General features: G+C 39.2%; 1 long non-coding RNA gene across 1 annotated transcript in view, besides 1 other annotated feature; it reads left to right on the forward strand.

The window, feature by feature from the left end:
- Positions 1-7,322: 7,322 nt before the first annotated feature.
- Positions 7,323-26,043, forward strand: part of LOC107985449 (uncharacterized) — a 57,505-nt gene continuing 38,784 nt past the window's right edge. Inside the window, exon 1 of the long non-coding RNA XR_001754537.2 lies at positions 7,323-7,603. This is a non-coding gene — a long non-coding RNA (uncharacterized LOC107985449). The remainder of the gene's footprint in view (positions 7,604-26,043) is intronic.
- Positions 11,698-12,897: an enhancer, noted in NCBI's record as "BRD4-independent group 4 enhancer chr20:22901714-22902913 (GRCh37/hg19 assembly coordinates)". NCBI's record gives its function as "activates an origin of replication core promoter dependent on BRD2, P300/CBP, MED14 and CDK7 cofactors, and independent of BRD4, by STARR-seq in HCT116 cells {active_cell/tissue: HCT116}" and the evidence as "EXISTENCE:reporter gene assay evidence [ECO:0000049][PMID:35650434]".

Genomic DNA, 26,043 nt, shown 5'->3' on the forward strand with positions numbered 1-26,043 from the left:
TGGGGGGAAGACTGCAGGCTGTGCGATCACATAAGAAGCTATTAGAGGCAGGCAGGCAAGAAAGAATGGAATTAGCAGTGGGAATGAAATGACTGGATGGATCTGAAGGATTTGTGGACAGTGGAAACAAAAGGATATGTGCCTATTTAGAGGTGCTAGTTGTGAGAGAAGGAGGAACCCAGGATGGCCCTAAAACCATGACTCATGCAACTAGATGGGCAAGAGGATGGAACAGGGGAAGAAAGCTGGGGGAGGAGCTGGTGGGTTCAGTTTTGCCATTGTTGTGTTTGAGCTACTATATGATGTTCACATAGCAATGTTCAGTTACACAGTGGTATTATATGGGTCTGAAGTTTAGGAGAGGGGAATGTGCTGAGTTTGGAAATAATCCATATATACAGAGGCTAAATGCATTCATAAAAGAGGATAAAATGTTTCAGGGAAACATTGTTCATTTGAGCAGAGAGTGAGAAGAGACAAGTGCCAGGAGAAGTATGAGAACTACATTTAAAGGGCGGATAGAAAGCAACAAAGGAGGCCTAAAGGGAATGGCCAGAGAGGTGAGAGGAAAGCCAGGAAAATGAGAATGCCACAAAGGGCAAGGGAAGAAGCAGTTATATAAAACACTGCCAAGATGAAGTTCAGCTATGGACTAAAAATCCTACGTTACATTTCAAGGCAAGGAAATCTTTCGTGACTTGGGGAGAACAGCTTCTGTAGAGGGGTGGGGATACAAGATGGTTTCCATGTGACTGAGAAGTGAGCGTAAAGTGAGGTGGGTATAGACGACTTTCTATACATTTGACTCTGAAGGGACTGGGAGAGATGAAGTAACAGAGATATGGGCTTTTAATTGTATGCTATGACAGGAACATAGAGGGTGACTGCAGTAAAAGGTGTGGAGCTGTGGGCACTTGATTTCTAGGGGAACATAGAGGTGATGAGTCTAAAATTATGCCTGTTTTGGAAGAGAAGGGTTGGCTCATCTGAGAGTCACAGCGTGGAGATGGCTCTGATCCTGGAGAGTGAGTTGGATGAAAAGAGAGGCTCTGATCTAAGAAGCTGCCATTCAAGTTGTAAGAACCCAGAGGAATATACATAGCAGTATCTACTTATTCACAATTATCAGCAGGGACAGATGTCGTGATGAGTTTGGGGGTCACTTAAGGAGAGAATGGGAGGAGAAATCCCTGTAAAGACTGGAGATGGACAGTTGAGGGAGCTGGAAGAAGCTCATGGGGAGACGTGCATGTATTCAAACTGGACGGGGGTGCACTGAGGACGTCCACAGTGCTCCACAGACCCAGGGAGGTCCATTTGTGTAGATCTTCTGAGGAGAGTCCAGAAAGGTGCACTGCCCTTTCTGCCCTCTCGACCTCTCTTTTAAAGTCCTCTGTTTTGCACCCAATTTTATTTTTTTCCTCTAATACTACACCTCTGGCTTCCACCTGACAGAGACACCGTTTGTTAGAATTGTGAGCCTGCAGGGGTGTCCCAGCCTTGCCAGCCAGCATGCTTGTGTTTGATTGTTTCCTTACTGTTCCCTGCTATGAGTAAGCTGACCCATCCTCACCATCTCACAAACCCACAGAGAACAACTCCCTCAGCTTACATTTTGGTCTCTTTCCTGGTTGATGTATTAGGATTACATTCAATTGTTCCTTTTCTGTGGCCATCAACACTACAAACAATTGCTATTATAACTTGTTTCAATGGTCAATATTATTTTAATTAAAGCCATCCTGGGAACAGCTGGACTCACACAGGTAATGGCAGGGAAGGGGTAGAGGGCAGGTAGCATCAAGGCAGAACGTGTGTGAAGGATGGCCAGGGTCCAGCACAGCTTCCTCCCCATTTACTAAGTCTCTGGGAACGATGTCCCAGCGACTGAGCCAACGCTTGTCCAAGTGAAATATGTTAGTTGCCCTTCACGGTGTTTCTTGGTCTCTGACTTGTGTCCTCTGATTTCCTGATGAAGTCACACTCACAACCTACATTTGCCTGGCCTGCATTGTAATTTTGCAGTACCATACACTGTTTTAAAAGTAAACTGCCAAAAATGTGTCCTTAGTCACTAGCATCACTGTTATACTTCTGAGCTTAGGGTGAGCTCAGTAGTCATGATGCAAAGGCATGTCTATTGTCTAAAAAATGGCCATCTTAGACAATAGAGGAATACAGAAGAATATGCTTAATGTGATTTATTTATTCAAAATGATCACTGATGCCAGACATTGTGCTCAGTCTGGGGATGAAGGAAGAGATAAATATGAATACAATCTCTGTCTATCCTCAAGAAACTCTTTCACTGGCATGGAAGAAAGATTTATTTAAAAATTCACAATATGGTAGTCTGTGCCATAATAGAGCTTTGCATAAACATTTTTGGGACCCAGTCCTAAATGCTACCCATTTATTAACAATGAAAATCATCATTTTAAATGAGAAATCATCAGATATTATAAGAAACCAATTTCAGTATGAAATCAATTAGCCGTTTTCTGATAAGTTCTTATTTTTAAATTATTGAGTATATATTTTATGCAAAAATAATATTTTTTGAGGTAAAAAAATTGATAAGCAAGGAACATATAGTGATTAAGAGTTTAAAATTAAAAAATTTATATTGATTCTATAGTAATTGCTTTAAGTATCAAAAAGAATATGGAAAATATTTTTGGCTATCCCCTATTGCATTTAATAATTATCCAATATAATGTATATATACTGTATGAATATATAACTTATTTAATATAATTCCTCATACTAAAACATTAGTTTTACTAATTTTAGCTAACTCTGAGTTTCCTTATGTATTCAGTAATTAATAAATTATATATAGCCTATATTTTTTTCCATGGGTTATTGTGGTACAGGTGGTGTTGGGTTACATGAGTAAATTCTTTAGTGGTGATTTGTGAGATTTTGGTGCACCCATCACTCGAACAGTATACACTACACCCTATTTGTAATCTTTTATCCGTCACCCCCCACCCACCCTTCCCCCAAGTCCCCAAAGTCCATTGTATCATTCTTATGCTTTTGCATCTTCATAGCTTAGCTCCCATGTATCAGTGAGAACATATGATATTTGGTTTTCCATTCCTGAGTTACTTCACTTAGAATAATAGTCTCCAATCTCATCCAGGTCATGCAAATACCATTAATTCATTCCTTTTTATGGCTGAGTAGTATTCCATTGTATATATATACCATAGTTTCATTATCCATTAATTGATTGATAGGCATTTGGGTTGGTTCCACAATTTTGTAATTGTGAATTGTGTTGCTATAAACATGCATGTGCAAGTATCTTTTTTGAATAATGACTTCTTTTCCTCTGGGTAGATCCCCAGTAGTGGGATTGCTGGATGAAATTGTAGTTCTATTTTTAGTTCTTTAAAGAATCTCCACACTGTTTTCTGTAGTGGTTGTACTAGTTTACATTCCCACCAGCAGTGTAGAAGTGTTCCCTGATTACCGCATCCATGCCAGCATCTACTGTTTTTTGATTTTTGATTATGGCAATTCTTGCAGGAGTAAGGTGGTATCACATTGTGCTTTTGATTTGCATTTCCCTGATCATTAGTGATGTTGAGCATTTTTTCATATGTTTGTTGGCCATTTGTATATCTTCTTTTGAGAATTGTCTATACAAGTCTTTAGCCCACTTTTGATGGGATGGTTTGCTTTTTTCTTACTGATTTATTTGAGTTCATTGTAGATTCTGGATATTAGTTGTCAGATGAATAGATTGTGAATATTTTCTCCCATTCTGTGGGTTGTCTGTTTACTCTGCTGACTGTTCCTATTGTTGTGCAAAAGCTCCTTAGTTTAATTAAGTCCCTGCTATTTATCTTTGTTTTTATTGCATTTGCTTTTGGGTTCTTGGTCATGAAATCCTTGCCTAAGCCAATGACTAGAAGGGTTTTTCCAATGTTATCTTCTAGAATTTTTATAGTTTCAAGTCTTAGATTTAAGTCTTTAATCCATCTTCAGTTGAATTTTTTTTTTTTTTTTTTTTTTTTTTTTGAGATTGAGTCTCGCTCTGTCACGCAGGCTGGAGTGCAGTGGCATGGTCTTGGCTTACTGCAACCTCCGCCTCCTGGGTTCAAGCAATTCTTTTGCCTCAGCCTCCTGAGTAGCTGGGATTACAGGTACGTGCCACCATGCCTGGCTAATTTTTTTTTCTTTTTTTTTTTTAGTAGAGATGGGGTTTCACCATGTTACCCAGGATGGTATCAATCTGGCCGAGGTGATCCACCCGCCTCGGCCTCCCAAAATCCTGGGATTACAGGTGTGAGCTACGGTGCCCACCCTGAGTTAATTTTTGTATAAGGTGAGAGATGAGGTTCCAGTTTCATTCTCCTACATGTGGCTAGCCAATTATCCCAGCACCATTAGTTGAAAAGGGTGTCCTTTCCCCACTTTATGTTTCTATTTGCTTTATTGAAGATCTGTTGGCTGTAAGTATTTGGGTTTATTTCTGGGTTCTCTATTCTGTTCCATTGGTCTATATGCCTATTTTTCTACCAGTACCATGCTGTTTTGGTGACTATGGCCTTATAGTACAATTTGAAATCAGGTAGTGTGATGCCTCCAGATTTGTTCTTTTCACTTAGTCTCTCTTCGACTATGTGGGCTCTTTTTTGGTTCCATATGAATTTTAGTGTTTTTTTTCTAATTCTGTGAAGAATGATGGTAGTATTTTGATGGGGATTGCACTGTGAAATGGGGATTGACCATGTGAAAATGGTCATTTTCACAATATTGATTCTACCCATCCATGTGCATGGGATGTGTTTCCATTTGTTTCTGTTGTCTATTATTTCTTTCAGCAGTGTTTTGTAGTTTTCCTTGTAGAGGTCTTTCACCTCCTCAGTTAAGTATAATCCTAAGTATTTTACTTTTCTTGCAGCTATTGTAAAAGGGGTTGAGTTCTTGATGCAATTTTCTGTCTGGTCGCTGTTGGTATATAGAAGAGCTATGGATTTGTGTCCATTAATTTTGTATCTGGAAACTCCACTGAATTCTTTTATCAGTTCTGGGAGCCTTCTAGAGGAGTGTTTAGGGTTTTCGAGATAAACACTCATATCATCAGCAAACAGTGACAGTTTGACTTCCTCTTTACTGATTTGGATGTCCTTTATTTCTTACTCTTGTCTGATTGCTCTGTCTAGGACTTCTAGTACTATGTTGAAGAGGAGTGGTGAGAGGGGGCATCCTTGTCTTGTTCCAGTTCTGAGAGGGAATGTTTTCAACTTTTCCCCATTCAGTATTATATTGGCTATGGGTTTGTCACAGATGACTTTCATTACATTGAGGTATGTCCCTTTTATGCCGATTTTGCTGAGAGTTTTAATTATAAAGGGATGAGGGATTTTGTCGAATGCTTTTTCTGCGTCTATTGAGATGATCATACAAATTTGTTTTTAATTCTCTTTATGTGGTGTATCACATTTATTTACTTGCATATGTTAAACCATCCCTGCATCCCTGGTATGAAACCCGATTGATCATGGTAGATTAACTTTTTGATACGTTGTTGGATTTGGTTAGCTAGTATATTGTTAAGGATTTTAGCATCTATGTTCATCAAGGATATCAGGATATCAGTCTTGTTTTCTTTTTTGGTTATGTCCTTTCCTGGTTTTGATATTAGGGTGATGCCAGCTACACAGAATGAAGTGGATGAATTGGGGGGGTCCTCTTTCTCTATATTGTGGAATAGTGTTAATAGGATTGGTATCATTTCTTCTTTGAATGTCTGGTAGAATTCTACTGTGAATCCATCTCATCCTGGACTGTTTTTTATTTGGTAATTTTTCGATTACCATTTTAATCTTGCTGCTTGTTATTGTTCAGGTTATCTAATTCTTCCTGATTTAAGCTAGGAGTGTTGTATCTTTCCTACTAGAGAGGAATTTATCCATCTCTCCTAGGTTTTCCAGTTTATGCACATACAGGTGCCCATAGTAGCCTTGAATTATCTTTTTTATTTCTGTGGTGTCAGTTGTAATAGCTCCCGTTTTGTGTCTTATTGAGGTTATTTGGAGTTTTTCTCCTCTTTTCTTGGTTAATCTTGCTGATGGTCTATCAATTTTCTTTATCTTTTCAAAGAAGCAGCTTTTTGTTTCATTTATCTTTTGTATTGTTTTGCTTGTTTGTTTCATTTTCATTTAGTTCTGCTCTGATCTTGGTTATTTCCTTTCTTCTTCTGAGTTTGGGTTTGGTTTATCTAATCCCTTGAGAAGTGACTTTAGATTGTCAGTTTGCACTCTTTCAGTATTTTTGATGTAGGCATTTAGGGTGATGAACTTTCCCCTCAGCACCCCCTTTGCTGTATCCCAGAGGTTTTGATAGGTTGCCTCACTATTGTTGCTCAGTTCGAAGAATTTTTAAATTTCCATCTTGATTTCGTTTTTGACCCAGTGATCATTCAGGAGCAGGTTATTTAATTTCTATGTATTTGCATGGTTTCAAAGGTTCCTTTTAGAGTTGATTTCCAGTTTTATTTCACTGTGGTCTGGGAGAGTGCTTGATATAATTTCAATTTTTTAAAATTTATTGGCCTATTTATTGGCTATTAAAACTATTGGTCTGTTTATTGGCTCATTTTATGGCCTATCATATAGTCTGTCCTGGAGAAAGTTCCATGCGCTGTTGAATAGAATGTGTATTCTGCGATTGTTGAATGGAATATTGTGTATACATTTGTTAAGTTCATTTGTTCTAAGATATAGTTTAAATCCATTGTTTCTTTGTTGACTTTCTGTCTTGTTCCAGTTCTCAGAGGGCATGCTTTCAACTTTTCCCCACTTGGCTCTATTTTTGGTCTGGTTGGCCTCCTGCTGAGAGGTGGCACTTTCCCGAGAGTATCAGCTGCAGTAGTATAGAGAGGAACTTGTGGTGGGCAGGGCCCTAGAACTTCGAAGAGTATATACCCTTTGTGTTCAGTTACGAGGGTGGGTAGGCAAGGACCATCATGTGGGGGTGGGGCTAGGTGTGTCTGAACTCAGACTCTCCTCGCTCTGGTCTTGCTGCAGCTGCTGCTGGGGATAGGGGTGAGGTTCCCAGGTCAGTGGAGTTATGTTCCTAGGAGGATTGTGGATGCCTCTGCTGAGTCGTGCAGGTTGTCAGGGAAGTTGGGGAAAGTCAGTAGTCACAGGTCTCACCCAGCTCCCACGCAATCGAAAGGGCTGGTCTCACTTCCACCATGCTCCCCCTAACAGCACCAAGCCTGTTTCCAGGCAGTGGGCAAGCAGGCCTGAGAACTTGCCCCAGGCTACCCACCTCCCAGCTGCAACAGAAAGTAGGACTTTAGTTCTTTCCCTGCCTGTGGAGTCTGCATGCTGGAGGATTCGTGCCCTCCCCAAGTTCTGGCCAGGAGGCTTCTCCGCCCATTCAAATTGTTACAAAGTTCAGCTGGGGATTTCCTTCTCCTTGTGGCGTTTTCCCCACACCTCTGGCCACCCTCCTGAAGGATCCCTGTGATGACAGGCAGGAATGGCCTGCTTGGGGACCCAGCAAGCTCACAGGGCCTTTCCTGCTGCTTCCTCTACTCCTGTATTTCACTCAGCTGTCTACGTTGACTCAGCTCCAGGTAAGACCAGAATATTCTCCTGTAAACTAGACCTTCATTTTCCCCAGTGGGGGTGTGTGTTCAGGGGCAGAGGATCCCCCTTTCCCACTTCCACAGTATGGGCACTCACGGTATTTGGGGTGTCTCCTGGGTCCTGCAGGAGCAATTTGTTTCCTTTACAGGATCCGTGGGTCCTCTTGGATTTCCTAATTTATTCCTGCAGTCGTTCTGGAGCTAAAATTCATGATGTGAGCCTCCACACACTGCTCTGTCTGAGTCAGAGCTACAATCTAATAAGTAATAAATAAACTTTTTTATTTTAAATAATTTTAAATTTACAGAAAAATTGCAGAGGCAGTACAGACACTTCTGGTATACCCTTTACACAGCTTCCCATAATAGTAACATCTTACATTAACTATGGTACATTTTTCAAAACTAAATAATTAACTTTGGTACAATATTATTAACTACATTCTCTACTTTATTTGAATTTCACCAGATTTCCCATTAATGTTCTTTTTCTACTCTAGGATCGCCCACTGAATTTAGTTCTTCTGACTCCTGCTCTGTATTTCTCAGCCTTTCCTTGTTTTTCACAAACTTGACAATTTTGCGGAATGATGGTCAGATATTTTATAGATTGCACCTCAATTTGGCTTTTCTACATTTGGTTATGAATAGACTAGGAATATAGGTTTTAGGAAAGAATGTGATCGAAGTGTAGTACCCTTCTTATTATATCATATCAGGGAGTACATGATATCAATGCGATTTATCACTGGTGCTGTTAATCTTGACCATTGATTAAGGTGGTATCCGCCAGGATTTTCTACTCTAGGTGCACTATTTTCCCTTTCCATACTCTGCTCTTTGGAAGTGAGTCATTAAGTGCATCTCACATTTGAATGGAGGAGAAAGATTACATTCCACTTGTTGAAGGGAAAAGCACCTTCTATATTATTTGAAATTCTTCTGTAAGGACGATTTGTCTCTGCTCTCCATTTGTTCATTTATTCAGTCGTTTATTTATATTGTAATATTATAGACTCAAGTGTGTTTATTTTATGCTTTGGGTAATCCAAACACTATGCTATTTATGAATTTTTATCAGAACATGGATGAGGAAGTGCTTACTTAGGCTGCGGAGGAGTTGGGGAGGTCTATGTCTTAAGGGTGGTAGTGTCAGATAGAGCAGGAAAGAACAACAGCAGTATTAGCTAAGGGGAAATCATGCCTAATAAGATAGTTTGTCAATATGCTGGTTTCTGTTTTTGTTTTTGTTTTGTTTTGTTTTGTTTTTGAGATCTTGGGCTTCCTTTTCAATGTTGATCTGTTAAAGGAGACATGATGTGTGACTATGTCTGCTTCTATATTTGATAATGATTTACATAAAGAGAATTAAGAAAGGTGAGAAAAGTGGCCTCCAGCAAGATAGAGACTTGCCTGAGGTCCAAAAGCTAGTTGAGGACACAGCTGTGGAAACATCCAGATAATGTGCCTCTTTGGTATCTAAGCAACAGCACTCCTAACAGCCAGTGTACACACACAACCCTGTGCTCCAAGACAGCTGTGTTGAAGACATCTTTGAAGCTGTTGTATTCTTCAGTTATGATAGTAACATGTTCTATTATTTTTTCTTGTGAAAGGGGGTTGAATCACCATGTGTGGCTCATGCTCCCCTAATCCCACATGTGTGTGAATGTGCATGTGTGTGAACCTATCTACAAGTCTGGATGTTCCTCAGAATCCTTGAAATCAATAACTGAACTCACTGTCTTCCTGGTGCCCTTCTACTGTACTTTCTATCTTGATCAATGATGCAATCATTCAATCAGGCTCCTTAGAAAGAAATCAGAGTGTTATTTTTGTATTAATCTCTACACATTTTCTTAAATTCTGCATTAGGAAGTCCTGTTGATTCTATTTTTTAAACACTGATTAATACCTCCCCTACTTCTCCATCACTACAGCCCCTTGTAAACCATGACTGCCTTTCATTTACATCCCAAGATTGGGTCACAACTCAAAACTCCTGAGTTTTTCCACTCTCACTTCCACTCCACTGATGCTTCACTGTACAGCTGCCAGGCAACCCATCTAAAGTTCAAGATGCTCAAGCCATTCTGTGCTTAGAAGCATAGGGTGGCTCTCTATTGCCTATAAGGTTAAAAATGAGACAAAGATAAACTGCCTTGTCCTAAAATGGCCTCTGCTTTCTCATCTGTGGTCCCCCTCACACACTTTCTCTTTTTCTGTCTCCTCCACATAATTTAAGATCCATTCTTACCAAACTCACCATCTTTTAAAACTTCATATACGTCCATGCCTCTAAGATCTTTGCTTTTCCTGTAATTCTCATTCTTCTTTGAAAACCTACTGACCCTCTAAGACCTTGCTGTTCAAAGAGTGTTCTGCTAACCAGCAGCATCAACACCATCTGGGAGCTTGTTAGAAATACAGACGCTTGAGTTCCACCTAAGACCACTGATTCGGAATCAGCATTTAAACAGCATCTCCAGGTGATTTTCATGCATGTTAAAGACTGGGGATGCTACACTAAGACATCTCAATTGTTAGCTTCCTGTGGTAGTCTTTTCTGATGTTCTTCTCCCTTTATCAGGTGCCCACCTTCCTGTTCTCTGCCTACTTTGATGTTGCATAGAAATCATTGGTTGATATGAGATTCTTGAAGGAAAAAGAGATGTATCATGTTCAACTTTGTAGCCTCAGAGCCTATGTTAAGGCTCACTTCCTTTTGTTCCATAAACAGCTACTAAACACCTGTGATGGGCCAGCCACAGTGCAAGGTGATGAGGATGCCAGTGGTCAATACGTGGCATGGTCCTTGTTTACAGTTTGGGCTTGAAGAAAATATTCATCAAAGAGAAACAAAGACTTGAATAGCAATCTTCACAAGCAGTCTGAGTGCAAGGTGCCAGGACCTGGAGAAGCTAAAAAACATTTATTGACCCTGGAACTGTCCCAGGGCTCCACAGGGACACACTATGTCTATTTAAGGCCATGCTTTACACACATCAGTACAGAACCAAGAAGACAAAAGTGCGGGGTTGGTAATCACATTACCTACCCATCAAGTAGCTGAGACTAAACCCAAGAATATCACCAATGAAAGAGATATTAGAGTTACAGCTGCTAAGTACCCACTGTTTGATTCTCATTTTCAGAACTGCTGTCCTATGACTTTTCATCTTTTGTTTAAATCCTGGCACAGTCGGAGAACTCGGCACACCATTAAACAATTCATTTCATTTTCAGTTTGCTCTGGTATCTGACCTGCTCCTCGGCCTGCATTATAAGTCCATCCATACTTCTTCTTCTAGCCTCCCAGATAGTCGCCTGCCTCAAGTAACTATCACAGTCATCTTCCCACTCACTTCTTCCCCATTGGTAAATCTTACAAATTCAAGTTGCCCATGAAGGATTCTTGTATTTTATTTTTATTATTATTATTTTTTTGAGACTCACTCTGTTGCCCAGGCTGGAGTGCAGTGGTGCAATCTCGTCTCACTGCAACCTCCGCCTCCTAGGTTCAAGAAATTCTCGTGCCTCGGCCTCCCAACATAGCTGGGATTACAGATATGTGCCACCACACCTGGCTATTTTTTTGTAATTTTAATAGAGCTGGGTTTTCACCATGTTGGATAAACTGGTCTCGAACTCCTGGCCTTAAGTGATCAACCCACCTTGGCCTCCCAAAGTGCTGGGATTACAAGTGTGAGCCACTGCGCCTGGCCAAGGATTCTTTGTCAAGAAGTTAATACGAAGGCAATGGAGCTTCATCCTGTGTGGGACATCTGACGGTGACCTAGAGTCAGTCCACCTGAGGGGCAAAACCCATTCATCATTTGTCAAAGGCTGTTTTTCAGAGGTGTATTTCTTCTCTGGCACTTCGGGCTTGACATGCAAACAAAGCACGTATGTTCCTACATCCAGAACAAAAGCTTTTGCTTGTAGAAATGAGTTCTGAGAAGATATGAGCAAATTTCCATGACATCTGTTACAAGGGGAAGGACGTGCACCCAAGTGTGCTCATCGAAGTACAAATCTGGCCCCTGGAGAGCAGAAACAGAAGCTGGTTTTACAGCATTACTTTTATGAAACAACATTGAATACTCTACCGCCCACAAAAGTAGTGTAAATAGCAGGTTTTTCCATCAGCTGTTGTCAAGACAATTCTGTTTTAACAACCGTAGCTGTTTCTATGTTTACTCTCTTTGGAATGGTCACACTCACACCCAAGGTCACTCAGGCAACATAGACAGCAGATCAAGAGTGAGAGAAATCCTTTCCATCTTTTCTCCTCTTCTAGGGGGTACTCCATACTACTAGCTGCCCAGCCTGCATCACCCCAGACATCAGGAGTGGCTGCTCACAGAAGACCAAGGCAGATTGGAATAATGGAACCCCTTCATCAAGACCCCTCTGCACCGTCTCTTAGTCCTAGTACCTTGAGAGAGTCGTTTACGCTCTTGGAGTGTCCCTGCATTTTTAAAGGTGTTAGCATGAAGAACAAGGCAATAGACATAGACAAGGAAGCTGTTATGAGCACAGATCTCATGGGAAAAGCAAAACTTTCTGCTGTTTTTGTTCAGAAATACAGAAATTTTCAGGAAGATCTTTTATGAAGGTGATAACACTAGGGTCCCTACTCAGGACACCAGCTGAACAGACAAGATTTCCCTGTTACTTGTGGTTTGGTCTGTTAAGCACAATCCCACCTCGATGCTGCCATTAGGCAGATAGTTTATGCGTCTCTCCAAACTTCCCAGTGGAGACCTTTATTTTCAGACTTGGAGGACTGGGAGTGTGGAGCACAGAGGAAAAAGAACGTGAAGTTCTGACTAATTACGAGCTGGGGGAGGGATGAAGCAGTGAGAAAATGGTGATTTTGACTGTGAAAAGTTCAACTGAATTAAATTTAAACTTTTAAAAGAAGGAATCTACAAATGTTAGACAACTATGTAAGGGAGTATTTAGTTCTGAGTTGGTTTAAAACCCATTCTTCATCCAGTACCCGTAACAAACAACAGAAAAAGCATGCTGACATTTCTTAGCAAAAACTGATAAAATGAGTCTAACCACAATGACATTTTTCCAGCTGGCATAATCATGAGTCATTCCTTTCTCTGAGGACTTAATGTCACCACAAAAGCCTCTAACTTCCCCATATTTATCATTTGGAAATGAAAACTGTTTACTTGTCATGCATGCCAAAGAATAGATTAAACTGATAAAGAAAATTATAAGATTAATAAGTGCAATTTACTTGTCAAATGGAGGTATTTCATCATTTCATGAAGCTGTTCCCTCCAGGGACTCCGTGCACTGGTGTTTCGCCACAGAGACCAGGCTGGGACCAGTCTAAAGACAGTGGTTGGGGACTGGTTGGCCTTACTGTTATGGTGGAAAGGAGACTCCTTCCAGCTCTTCTTTGGCCACCAAAGAAGAAAACAAAGAAGGACTCTTTCCTTATACTCCTTAAGTTAAAGAAAGATTCAAGTATATTGCTATAGTAAAGGGAGCCACAAAAAGAAATGAGAACAATCTAGACAGCAAAAACAGGGAGGATAATCTGTAGAGGCTGCCCACATTTCTTAAATCAAGACATGGGGGGTTAAGTGTAACATGGTAACACCTACCAGACAGACTAAAATATACTATTAATCCTCCAAATTACCAAAAGGCACACACACACACACACACACACACCATACACACTGAAAAAGAATGAAAGAAAGGCAATTCCTAGAGTAAATGAGAGAATAAAGAATATATTGAAAACAAATTAAAATCCCAAAAGTTAAGCTAATAATATGTAAAAGATAAAAAGTAATACTCGAGTAATGCATTTAGATAAAATAATGCTAATAAATGTATACATGATAACATGCCTATTGGAGAAAAGACTTGCAGAATGAGGTACATACAAGTGGGACACATAAAGTGAAAATGATGAAGATAAACCAGGAAAATGCTAACAAAAAGAAACCTAGAGTTCACCATAAAAATATTAGACAAGGATGAAGTTACATCAGAAAGTGATAAACTAGAGAAAATTGGGTTATTAACACAGTTACACTGAGAATGCAATGCTTTTTATGTACCAAATAACAAGAAGAAACAAAAACCCATAAAACATATGATCTAGGCACTTCTAGAATAAATCAACCAAAAACAGAAGTAGTAAGATACTAAGTCATCTATATGATGTCATGATTGATGAAGTGGATACAAATTCACAAATTAATCAATGCGGTAGAGCAGTGGCTCTGAAACTTGACCCAGTCTCCGAATTCAGATGTGCTCAAGCACCCATCACTGGGCCCACCCTGGAGTTTCTGCCTCAGTAGTAGAGAAGAAGGGGACTTGAGAATTTGCATCTGAGAAGTTCCCAGGCCATTGTAATGCTACTGGGCTGCTGGGCCTGGGGTCACACTTTGAGAATATGGTGTGGAGGATCAAAAATAATAACAAAATTTAACCAAGAGACAGATCTCAGTATGTATCTCTAACCACAGAGAAAGAACAGTGTACAAAAAATTTGTCCACTTATTAGGCCACAGAAAAATTCTGAATAAATTTAAAGTAGAAATAGTACAGAATGAAGCTCTGATTTCAGGTGATAAAGTTGAAAATGGATAGACTCAATCTCTTGGAAGCATGGCATATAAAAACAGATGGAGTTTTGCTAATCTCTCTCACAGAAAATGTGTATCCTGAAATACTTACATAAATAGACAGAAGGTGAATGAATAATCATCTAACCAAAGAAAATAAATCTGAAAACAGCATGTATGTGTGTATAATATAATTATTTTAGGGGAAGAACTAGATTCCAGTAGAAAAGATTTACTTTTTACTCTGAACTTTTCTATACTTTCTGAATTCTCTGATTATGCATGTGTACGACTTTTAAAAAAAAACCAGGCCAACAAGTTTCATTTGAGTGTGAAATTGGGGACCTTTTGATTTTTGCTCTTGTTTTTCTTTCAATTTCCGTGCATTAAGTGTTAGTTTTTGTAAATAAAGAAAGAATAGATAGTATCCTTATCCTTTGGAAGTTGACTTGGAAGAAAAATAAAATATCAGACACCACTAAGAAATTCAGTATTTCTAATTGATGTGAACAAGTGGGAGTAATTCTGTGGTGGAGCTGGTCAGGGTCTGAGACACAGCTGGTTTCCCTGGAACACATTACCAGCCCACCCTTGCCGTGCCAAGCCCTCCTTCCCAGACTGCAGCTGCCGTGAGTCTCTCATCAGGCAAGTGAGCTGTTTCATGAGTAGCTGACTCCCAAAAGTTGGCTGGCTGGGGCAGCTTGGGTGCTGATTTCAGTTCAGTATAACATGTCAAATGTTAATAATTAATGCTTTGCATAGTAATTGTCAAGTAGGAATAGTCAAAAAGAGAAACTTGTTGAAGAAGAGGATAAAAGGGAGCAGGAGGTAGGAAGCAGGGAGGATAAAAGAGCGTAGGTAAGAGTTGATAATAAACCGTGTCCAGGTGGAAATTCAGCAACAAAAACTGTATGAGGAGAAATGACCTCTTTGAAGGGTGTTGAATCATGAACACAAGGATGATTCAGCAATGAACTGGTAGCAGAGATCTCCAGGAAGGATACAGTTTAGGCTCATGGCTCCAGCAACCCAGACTCTAAGGAGAACCCAACAGGCCCACCACAGAAACTTGAGTTACCTGTGGCCCCAGCAGGAAAGCAGCAAGCAGTGGGAGCCAGAGATGTCATGAAATCACTTGCCTAAGTCTGCAAAAGAGTCCCCCAGGACAGAGAGGAAATTTGACCCCCCTCCTATTTCCAAGACATAGGCACGTTCACTGCCCCTGGGAGAGAAGGCGGAAGAAGAATCCCATGTCCTCCACTGTTCTGTCTTCTGTCTGTGGTCTTAGCTCTCCCCAGTTTCTGAAGTGGTGAAAATTTTCTCAAAACTTTCCCTCTATTTCTACCCCCAAATTTTTAAAGATTTTTCTGTATTCAGCCATGTGCCAAGTACATGACACATCTTCTGTTCCTGCACAGTCTGGTGAGGAGCATCTTCTGTTATCCCCACTTTATGGATGCAGGGTCTGTGGTCAGTGAGGGCAGCTGCTTGTCCTCACTGACAGTGAGTACTGGAGAGGGACTTGAATCCCCACCCATCTCTGTTCCAACACCAGCACATTCAAGAATCACATAGAACTCCACCCTCTCCCTCTCTCTTCCCCTCTCCTTTTCCTTTGTGTCTACTTAACTTGTATTATTGCCATTTGCTTCTTTTCCCCTCAGTGAAGTGTGAGACTGGTCAGTGTTTTTTTTTTTTTTTCTTTTCCCCCTGTTCGTTCCCAGGAAACAGTGAAGTTTATATAAGTCTCAATCAAAGCAGCCTTCCATCACCACGTTCCATCATCTGCCCAAACTTCTGCTTCCTCTTGACATTTAGGTCTGGGGTGGAGGGCAAAGGCTGTCACCAGAGAAAAGCCAGCTGCTCACAGCCACAATGTCTCACATGCTGGTCTGTCCTCAGATAGCCTGCCATGTCTCAGGGTCTGGTTCTCAACCTCAAAAGTTTCCAAAGATGACAACCTTCTCGCAGAGACAGGGCTCACTAGTTTTTTTTTTTTTTTCTCAATTCTGTAATTCAAAAATTGTTTATGTTTCATTTGATAACTTAATTTCTAGAGTTTTGAAGACACCTTGCTGCCATCTTTGTCTGCCTTTCTGGCTGAACAGAAGGCAACTGCAAGAGGAATACCTCAGACCAGGAAATTGAGTCCAGAGCCTCACATCAGCACTGACGTGAGGCTGACTAATGAGTACTCATCACGAACTTCAAGAGCATGAGAGAAAGACTGCGGACCCATTACAGCTTGCAGGGGACTACTTGCTCTCCACTCCAGTCTTAAATGTCACTAGAGGTGTCGAGTGGGTGGGGGCAGTGGCCTCCAGGGCCTTCATCCCTAGACATTCTGATGGCTCACTAATGCCCTCTAGAAAGGCAATGTTGGATTCAACTCTGAACTCTGAAAATCTCTAGACAAAGAAGATGGTTATCTTTTGAAATCTGACATACCAGAAGATAAGGTTGAAGAGCCCATGGCAGTGCCTTAATTTCCTATTTTTCCTCAAATGTTTTCAGTTGAGCAAAACACATTTTATAAAGCCATTTCTCCTCTAAAAATGTTAAACCCACATTTCAAAATAAGAGAAATCATCTCCTTATGAATCTGATTCATTCACACTTTTATGGGAAGTTTGGCAAACAGAAAATTGGTGGTTCCTTTGTTCCAGATTGTCTACCCAAAAAAGAGGGACAGGGTCCAGAGGACACTAGACTCCTCTCCTGACTCAACACCTTCCATTGGTAAGGCTCTTGCCTCTTTCTATGACCAATAAAGCACAGATAATGACTAGAAAACAGAGGCCATGAGTAGGATGGGCCACTGAACTGGTGCTAAGCAAGTCCTCTTGCTCACCTACTCTTAAAGGTCATTAAAGACTGAGCTTCAAGCCTTCCTTGCCTTGCCTTGCCTCCCACCATGATCCTGGTTGAGATACATTAACTTTTCTTCTCTGATTATCTCAGCAGCCAAATACCTGGTCTCACTGAGTCTAAGTTTGCCCTTCTTTAATCTATCCTCTTCTCACTCTGCCTTTGTTTCTGAATGATATTGTTAGTCACGTTATGGCTCTGCTCAGGGATGACTTTTCACCTCTCGATCACCTGCAAACCATACAAACTGCATTTTCTTACACTATTACTTCAAATGTCTCCTTCCACATATTTCCAGGACAACCACAGCTCACCTCTTTGGAAAGCATGTTCTTTCCTGCTTCTTCCTGGTCTCTTCTTCCCTCACTTCTCCCTTTGAAATTCTATTCTTTAAGGGTCAATGTAAATAATACCTCCTCTGGGAAGTTTGCCAGTTTTTCTAACTTGTATTTTTAAATGATTTTAAATCATTTTAGACTTACTTACAGAAAAGGTATAAAAATAATACAGAATACCTGTACTATTCACACAGATTTCCTGTAATGCCAAAATCTTATGTAATCATAGTACAGTGATCAAAACCAAGAAATCAACATTGGTTCAATACTATTAACTAAGCCAAGACTTAATTTAAATTTCACTTGTCTTTCTAAAAATGTCCTTTTAAAAAAGGACTATTCTGTGTTCCAATCCAGAATCTCACTTTGCATGTGCAGTTGACTCCAGAACGACATGGTTTTGAACTGCATAGGTTTACTTATAAGTGGATTTTCTCCTGCCTAGGATACTCCTGAGATAGCAAGTCCAACCTCTCTCCCCTTCCTCCTCCTCCTCAGCCTACTCAATGTGAAGACGATGAGGTTGAAGACTTTTATGATGATCCACTTCTGCTTAATGAATAGTAAATATTCATTTACTATTTTCTCTTCCTTATGATTTTCTTAATAACATTTTCATTTCTCTAGCTCATTGTAAGAATACAGTATAAATGAAACATACAAAATAATGTGTTCATCAACTGTTTATGGTGTCAGCAAGGCTTCCTGCCAACAGTAGGCTATTAGTACTTAAGATCTGCAGGAGTTAAAAGTTGTACCTGGATTTTCTACTATGCAGGGGGATGGCACTCCTAACCCCCGTGCTATCCAAGGCCAGGTCTAATTGTTGTGTTTCTGCAGTCCCCTGCAAGTTGTAATGCTTCTGCAGTCTTTTTTCTCAAGCTCTTGACGTTCATGATGAGCACTCATCAATCATTTTGTGGAATGTCCCACAGTTTGGTTTGTCTAAGGTTATGTGAGCCTGTCTGTAATTTCCCACAATGGAAGTAATTATTCTCTCTCTGTGCTCCCACCACACTTGGTCACTCCTCATGTCCATGCTTCCTCTACCATGGTATTACCGAGGAGCAAGACTGCATTTTACTCTCTGGGACTCTGTAATGCATAAAACCTTCTTAACATTCAATATATGCCAGTAAAGTCACTGAATAAATGAATAAATGAATGATGAGCACAAAGAAAAAAATGATCAATCTTTAGGCAATTTTTAAAAAACTAATTTTTTAAATAGGAAGCAGATTATTCAAAAAAGGGACCAGTCCCTAGAAGGCCAAGGTAGCAGTTGCCTCCTATCAGCCTCGCTCAGAAAAATGAAATACCAAGAAGGGAAGGCTTCAGTAAATGGAAATAATGAACTGCCAGTGACTTGAAACGCTGTCCTCTGAGAGTCAGAGCATGTCTCTGGTCAGATGTTTCAGTGCCCTTCATTCCCCACTTGAGCCTCTATCACCATGCGTCCTCATGGGAAAAATGAGTGACAGTACCCTGTTAAGTTAGTGCTTCTCAGGAGAAGCAAGCCTTTTTGCAGGCACTTCAGTTGATTGCTGCTCATGCATATGACATGCAATAGCCTGGCACTATTCAGACATAAAGAACAGAAAGCCTGAACACTTCACCGCAACCCCCAAGAAATAAATGTCATATAATTAAGTACTTCTCTCTTGCTTCAAGGGGGCATCTTTAATTTTTTATTTTGCAGGCAAGAGTTTATGCAAAAAAGAAAGTGATGAGAGAAGACAGGTCATTCTTAGAATGACCTATTGATATAATGTGAGATATCTATTCAATAAATATTTGTCACGTGTCTACATGTGAAAGATGATTTTGGAAAGGGCAAAGAATCACCAGGGAATTGGAGCTAGGATGTGTTTCTGGAACTGTGTTTGCTTAGGGAAATGTGATTAGTAATTCCCAGAACACTTTGATCCTCTGTTGTCACTGTTCAGCCCCAAACTGTCTGTGTTTTGCACAGCTTGTGTAACACACACACTGCTCCGCTTCTTCAGGCGCCCCACGCTTTATGCCATGTCAGGTCAGATAAGGAGACAGCTCCACCCCAGTGCCATTATCTTAGGTCTCTCTGGAAACGTGTCCACAGAATTGGGATTTACTCTGTGCTCTTGTCTTTCATCGAGCTTGACTTTCAAAATGGTTATCGACCAGCTGTTTGTATGTCATTCTATTTCATTTGAAGATCCAAAGGAAAGTGACTTCTAAGAGATGAAACGCTTGGGGAAAACTTTTACTTTCCTGACAAAGTGGTAGACTGGTTTTTTAAATAAAGGAAACTGGGCAACCCATTTTTCCCTTTCTATTTGATCTTATGAGATTTTTAATTACATTTCATGTTCAATAGTACAACTGACTGGAGGGCTCATATTTTTGGTACAATTTATCTTCATCATTGCCTGTCCCCGAATCACCACCACCAAAAATAATGGCTTCAATATTTCTTAAAAACTTATCTTAACAGTATCATTGTCCACATTCTTTTGTTGTTATTGCCATTAGGCTGCTTCTAGTCTTTTCTGGAAGTAAGTAGCATAAATAAATTTATAAATACATACATGTACACACATACATACATACATATATACTTCTAATTATCATGGAGGCAGGAAATAACGAAGAATCAGACACAAAGTTGATTTTTGTTGTTGACAAAGCACAGACAGTGAATCGAAAATTTGTTTCTGAAGAATTTTAGAAAGCAGCATTCTCTGAACTCACATGAAAATGACTCTGTAAACTTTTTCTGCTATAAAAATGAAGGGAGGCTTTCAAATTCTGACCCAGGTTTTCAGATCAAGACATTCTTCGCTGAGAACTAAGTGTAAAATACCTCCAGGAACAGTATAATCATATTAGCCTAGAAAAATAAGGAATTTCCAGGTGTAGAAACTGATGATAGGATTGTTTTACACTTAGTTTGTCAGAATCCAGCTGAAAAATGACTGTAAAGGAATGTGCATGCTTATAAACTAAAAAAAGTTGTTTCGCTTAACTCTGATGAAATTTAGTTTACTAGGAGGCTGTGCTCCCTGAAGAAGTTGTGAAATCTTCTAATACCCTATTTCTTCAGAAACAGCCTTCCAGACATTAATAGGGAATGCATTTACTATTCTGGTTTGAGACCCAAAGCTACTCAAAATCTATGCAGAAACCCACAAGGGCCCTTCACACTCCCGAGTCCTCAAGGAGATGAAATATTATGTACAAGTTTGCATCCTAGTAAGATGAACAAGGAAACCTGCCCCATGAAAAAGACCACCGACAGAATGTAATCAAACAATAATAAAAGCTTAAATAATCACAATATAAACACTACTATTAACAAATAGCTCGTCTATAAAATATACAGTGATAAATTTCATTTTCCTCCAGATTTCCTCAAGTGTATTCCCGGGAAAACAAAGTATTTCTCTTATCTCAAATAAGGCATAAGCATGTTGAACAAGGCTAAGGGGGGCAGAACACGAGGCCAGGAGATCGAGACCATCCTGGCTAACACAGTGAAACCCCGTCTCTACTAAAAATACAAAAAAATTAGCCGGGCCTGGTGGCGGGCGCCTGTAGTCCCAGCTACTTGGGAGGGTGAGGCAGGAGAATGGCGTGAACCCGGGAGGCGGAGTTTGCAGTGAGCCGAGATTGCGCCACTGCACTACAGCCTGGATGACAGAGCGAGACTCCATCTCAAAAAAAAAAAAAAAGCGTGGACTTGCGGTGAGCCTGGCTGTTGCGCTGTCTGTGCTAGGAACAGTCTCACTGCTGTTCTGTTGAACATGGTGTCACTGTAATTTACGATAAATATCCTTTATCATGTTGAGGGCTTTCCTTTCTGCTTTCTGGTATGTATTATTATGAGAAATAAATATTGAATGTATTATATGATTTCTCAAAATTCTTTAAAAAAATTTCCTCTTTATCCTCTTGATGAATTGCGGTAGGTTAAACAGAAGTTAAACATTGACCCTGCCTCTTTTTCCTGAAAGAAACTCTATTTGATTAAAATATGATTCTTTTCATATAATGCTAGTTTTGATGTACTAGTATTCTATTTATTGTTTTTGCCTTTGTATTCATATGTGAAACTAGCTTTTAGTTTTCTGTTTTGGGGGGAATTAGTTTGTTCAGGTTTCACTGTTAGTTCATATGCTCATAAAATGAATAGTTCCAGAGCAGTTTATCATGTAAAGAAATAATCTATTCCCAGATAAAACTTTTCTATAAAACGATCTAGACATGGAACCTTTTGAAGAAATAGATTTGGACACTTTTCAGCCTTTGCTACAGTGATTGATCTGTGTACTTTTTAGCTTCTTGTTGGGTAAAATTTTGGTAATTTATGATTTCCTAAAGAAGCATTAAATTCTTGTGAATTTTAAAACGTTCCGGATGACATTTATATAAAATATTCTTTTAAAGAATACTTTATATCTACCCTCACATTTATTTTCTGCTTTGTGGTGTTGTCTGTTGTGCTGTCCATATTTTTCCTAAAGAGATGTGTAAGAGGCTGATTTATTTATTGGTCTTTCCTGGAAAGAGGATTTGGATTCATTTATCAGTTCTACTGTTTGCTTATGTGGGTATTTTTGGTGATTTTAAGTTAGGTAATGACTACTTGGTGTTTATAAATTCTTTCCTCTAACTTCCTTTGGTTCATTTTGTTGTACAATTCTTCATTCTTAAGCAACTTTTGGTTAATATATTTTTAAACATTTCTCCTCATTAACAAAAATATTGAATGCTATGGGTTTTCTTTATAATTTTGGACCAACATATAGTGTTCTCATTGTCTTTAACTTCTAACAAAGCCATAATTTTAGTTGTCATGTCTAGCTTAACCTAAGGTTTTTTTTTAAGTTATTATTTTTAACTTGGGGTGGTTATATTGGTGATAGAGGAAGGGGACACGGGAAATTTTACTTTTATTTTCTAATTGTATTAGTCAAGGTTCTCCAGAGAAACAGAACCAATCGGCCTGAGAACAAAGAGAGTTCAGGTTGCAAGTTCCAGTCTGAGTCCAAAGGCCAGAACCAGGAGAGCTGATGGCATCAGTCCCAGACCAAGAGCCGGAGGAAGCCAGTATCCCAGCGCAAGCAGCCAGGCAGACAGAACAAACTCCTTCCCCGGCCTTTTTGTTCTATTTGGGTTCTCTGTGGTTGGACTGGAAGATGCACACCCTTATTGGGTAGGGCAATCTTCTCTACTCAGTCTATCAATTCAAATGTGAGTCTCATCTAGAAACTCCCTCTCAGATATACCCAGAAATAAAACCCCATGGCCCAGTTCAGTTGACACATAAAGTTAACTATTACACTAGTTTAATTGCACTGTGATTAGAGAATACCACTCTTTGAGGCTTTCTTGAAATTTCCTTTGGCTCTAAAACATGATCAATTTTTGCCAATGTTTCATGAGCATTTGCAAAATGTATTCTCTCATCAGCAAAAATGCTAAAAGTATCTCTTAAATAAAGTATGCTAATGCAGTTTTTAAGTGATCTGCATTTTTATTTATATTTAGCAATATGTTTGGCCACTCCTGCAAGGAGTTTGTTAAACACTGTGCCTCTATCTTGTTTTTATGAGGTTCTTACATTTCTAACAGTCATTGCTGCAGATGCGTCACTGACATTTATACATGCACTTATACATAAACATTCAAGAGCTTTTCATTCTCTCGGTAGATTTTACCTTTGACTTTAAATGATACCTCATGTGATATCAATATTGATGTTGCTGCTTTCTTTTTGTGGTATTTTCTTTGTCCATCCTTTAAATTTCTTTGTTCAATTTCTAAACTTATTTCTATCTAAAAATAATATAGTGGTTAACAGTGAGGCCTCTGGAATCTAATTATCCAATTCCCCAGCTCCAGGGTATTACTGTGGCCACTTTTCCATCTGACTGTGTCCCTGTTGAGACAGTGTATGTGAAAGTGTGTGGGAAAATGCCTAGTGTATAGTATGCACTGAATACATTTTACCTGTCATTCTTTTTATTACTTTTAATTTATATTATAAATAGCAAAGCTTTTTTCTTACAGTGAAGCATTAGATTTTACTTTTTATGTATACTCTGAGTATCTATATACATTTTAATAGGGTGTTTTTAAAGCCATTCAAATTTATTTCCTCTAAAAATATTTGAGGTTCTATATCTTCCAACTTTTTTACACTTCCTACTCACTCTGATTTCTTACTGTCTCATTTTGTTTCTTTCCCTTATTTTTGGAATTCTATTTTTTATTCCATTTCAAAGATGTCATTAATTTATTTTTTTCAGGGCCCAATGTTTTAGGCTCAGTAGATCATTTCTTTTCAGAAACATGAGGCTTGCTTGGCAGGCAAAAGAAATCTGTTAGCTCTTCCTGGGTGACCAGCACTGAGCTAGACATGGTAGTGGGGAGGAATATAAAACAAGTACAAGATACAAATCTTGCTGTAAGGCAGCTTAAAATCTAGTAAAGAACTTATAGGAAAAATAAAATGCAGCAAATAATAAGACATAAACTAGGTTTCCGTTAAGTGTTCTTGGAATTCAGAAGAAAGATGGAAAAGCAGTGACTGAGCTACCCTCAGAAGAGCCAGGAGGGTTTGGATGCTGCAACACAACATAGCCATGTATCCGTGTGACTGCCCAGTGGGGAGCTGGTTTCCAACCTGGACTCTAAAATCAACAAATGATATCTTCCACTAAACCAAAAGGGAGGCTCAGCACCCACTCAGTACCCCTCCATCCTGCCATCCTTGTCCTGTTTCTTATCTTGGAGAAAAAAAACTTCAGACTTTCATTGCTGAGTATTATTTTAGCTGTGGGCTTTTCATATATGGCCTTAATTATGTTCAAGTAGTTTCTATTTCTAGTTTGTTGAGTTATTTAATCATGAAAAAATGTTGAATTTTGTCAAATGCTTTTTCTGCATCAAGTAAGATAATAATGTGGTTGTTTGTTTGTTTGTTTGTTTGTTTTGAGACAGAGTATCGCTCTGTTGCCCAGGCTGGAGTGCAGTGGCGCTATCTCGGCTAACTGCAACCTCTGCCTCCCGGGTTCAAGCGATTCTTCTGCCTCAGCCTCCTGAGTAGTTGGGACTACAGGCGGGCGCCACCATGCCTGACTAATTTTTGTATTTTTAGTAGAGATGGGGTTTCACCATATTGGCCAGGCTGGTCTCAAACTCTTGACCTCGTGATCCGCCCACCTCAGCCTCCCAAAGTGTTTGGATTACAGGCATGAGCCACTGCGCCCGGCTAATTGTGTGTTTTTTCCCTTCGTTCTGTTAATGTGGTGTATTACCTCAGTTAATTTTCATATATTGAACCATCCTTGCACATAGGAGTAAATTCCACTTGCTCATGGTGTACAGTCTTTTGAATGGGTTGTTGAATTTGGTTTTCTGGTATTTTGTTGAGGATTTTTGCATCACTATGGATAAGGGATACTGATGTGTACTTTCCTTTTCTGCTTGTATCTTTGTTTAGCTTTGGTATCAGGGTAATGCTGGCCTTATAAAATGAGGTTGGAAGTGTTTTCTCCTCTTCAATTTTTTGGAGGAGTTTGAGGCACTTTGGTGTTTGTTCTTCTTTAAATGTTTGTCAGGATTCACTAGTGAAACCATCTGGTCATGAACTTTTCTTTGTGTAGAGGTTTTTGATTTCTGATTCAATCTCTTTACTGTTTATATATCTGTTCAGATTTTCTGTTTTTGCTTTATTCAGCCATCGTTAAGTTGTTTCTAGGAATTTATAATTTTAAGTAGATTATCCAATTAAGTGATACACAATTGTTCATCACATTCTCTTATAATTTTCTAAGATTTCTGTAAAATTAGTTGGACTTTCCCCTATTTTATTTCTGATTTCAATTGTTTGAGTCCTGTTTTTTTTTCTTAAACAATATAACCAAAGCTATGTCCTTTTTGTTGATCTTTACAAGGAATCAATCTTTACAAAGAAGCAATTTTTCTGAATTGCTTTTTTATTCTCTACTTTGTTTATCTCTTATAATCTATTTTTTTCTTCCACTAGCTTTGGATTTAGTTTTGCTTTCTTTTTCTAGTACTTTAAGGCATAAAGTTAGATTATTAATTTGAGATCTTATTTTTTATATATGGGAATTAACTGCGATAAATCTTCCTCCTCGGCACTGCTTTTGCTACATCCCATAAATTTTGTTCTATTGCGCTTTTATTTTTATTTGCCTCAAGATATTTCCTACTTTCTGTTGTTACTTCTTCTTTGACTCATTGGTTATTTAAGATTGTATTGTTTGATTTCCACAAATTAATGATTTTTTGCTTTCTTTTTCTTAGTTTCAATGCAATCAGAAAAGATACATTGCATGATTTCATTATTTTTCAATTTATTTGTATTGTTTTGTGACCTAACATATGGTCTATCCTGGAGAATAGAATATTCCACATGCATTTGAAAAAATGTGTCTTCTGCTGTCATTAGGTGGACTGTGATACCTATCTCTGTTAGGTACCATTGCTGTATATGTTGTTCGAGTCCTCTATTTCCTTACTGATCTTCTGTCTGGTGGACTTTTTCCATTATTGAAAGTAGGAGTATTGAAGCCTCCTACCATTATCATTGAGCTATCTATTT

This window comes from Homo sapiens, chromosome 20, assembly GCF_000001405.40.
Source record: "Homo sapiens chromosome 20, GRCh38.p14 Primary Assembly".
NCBI classification, from domain to species: Eukaryota; Metazoa; Chordata; class Mammalia; order Primates; family Hominidae; genus Homo; species Homo sapiens.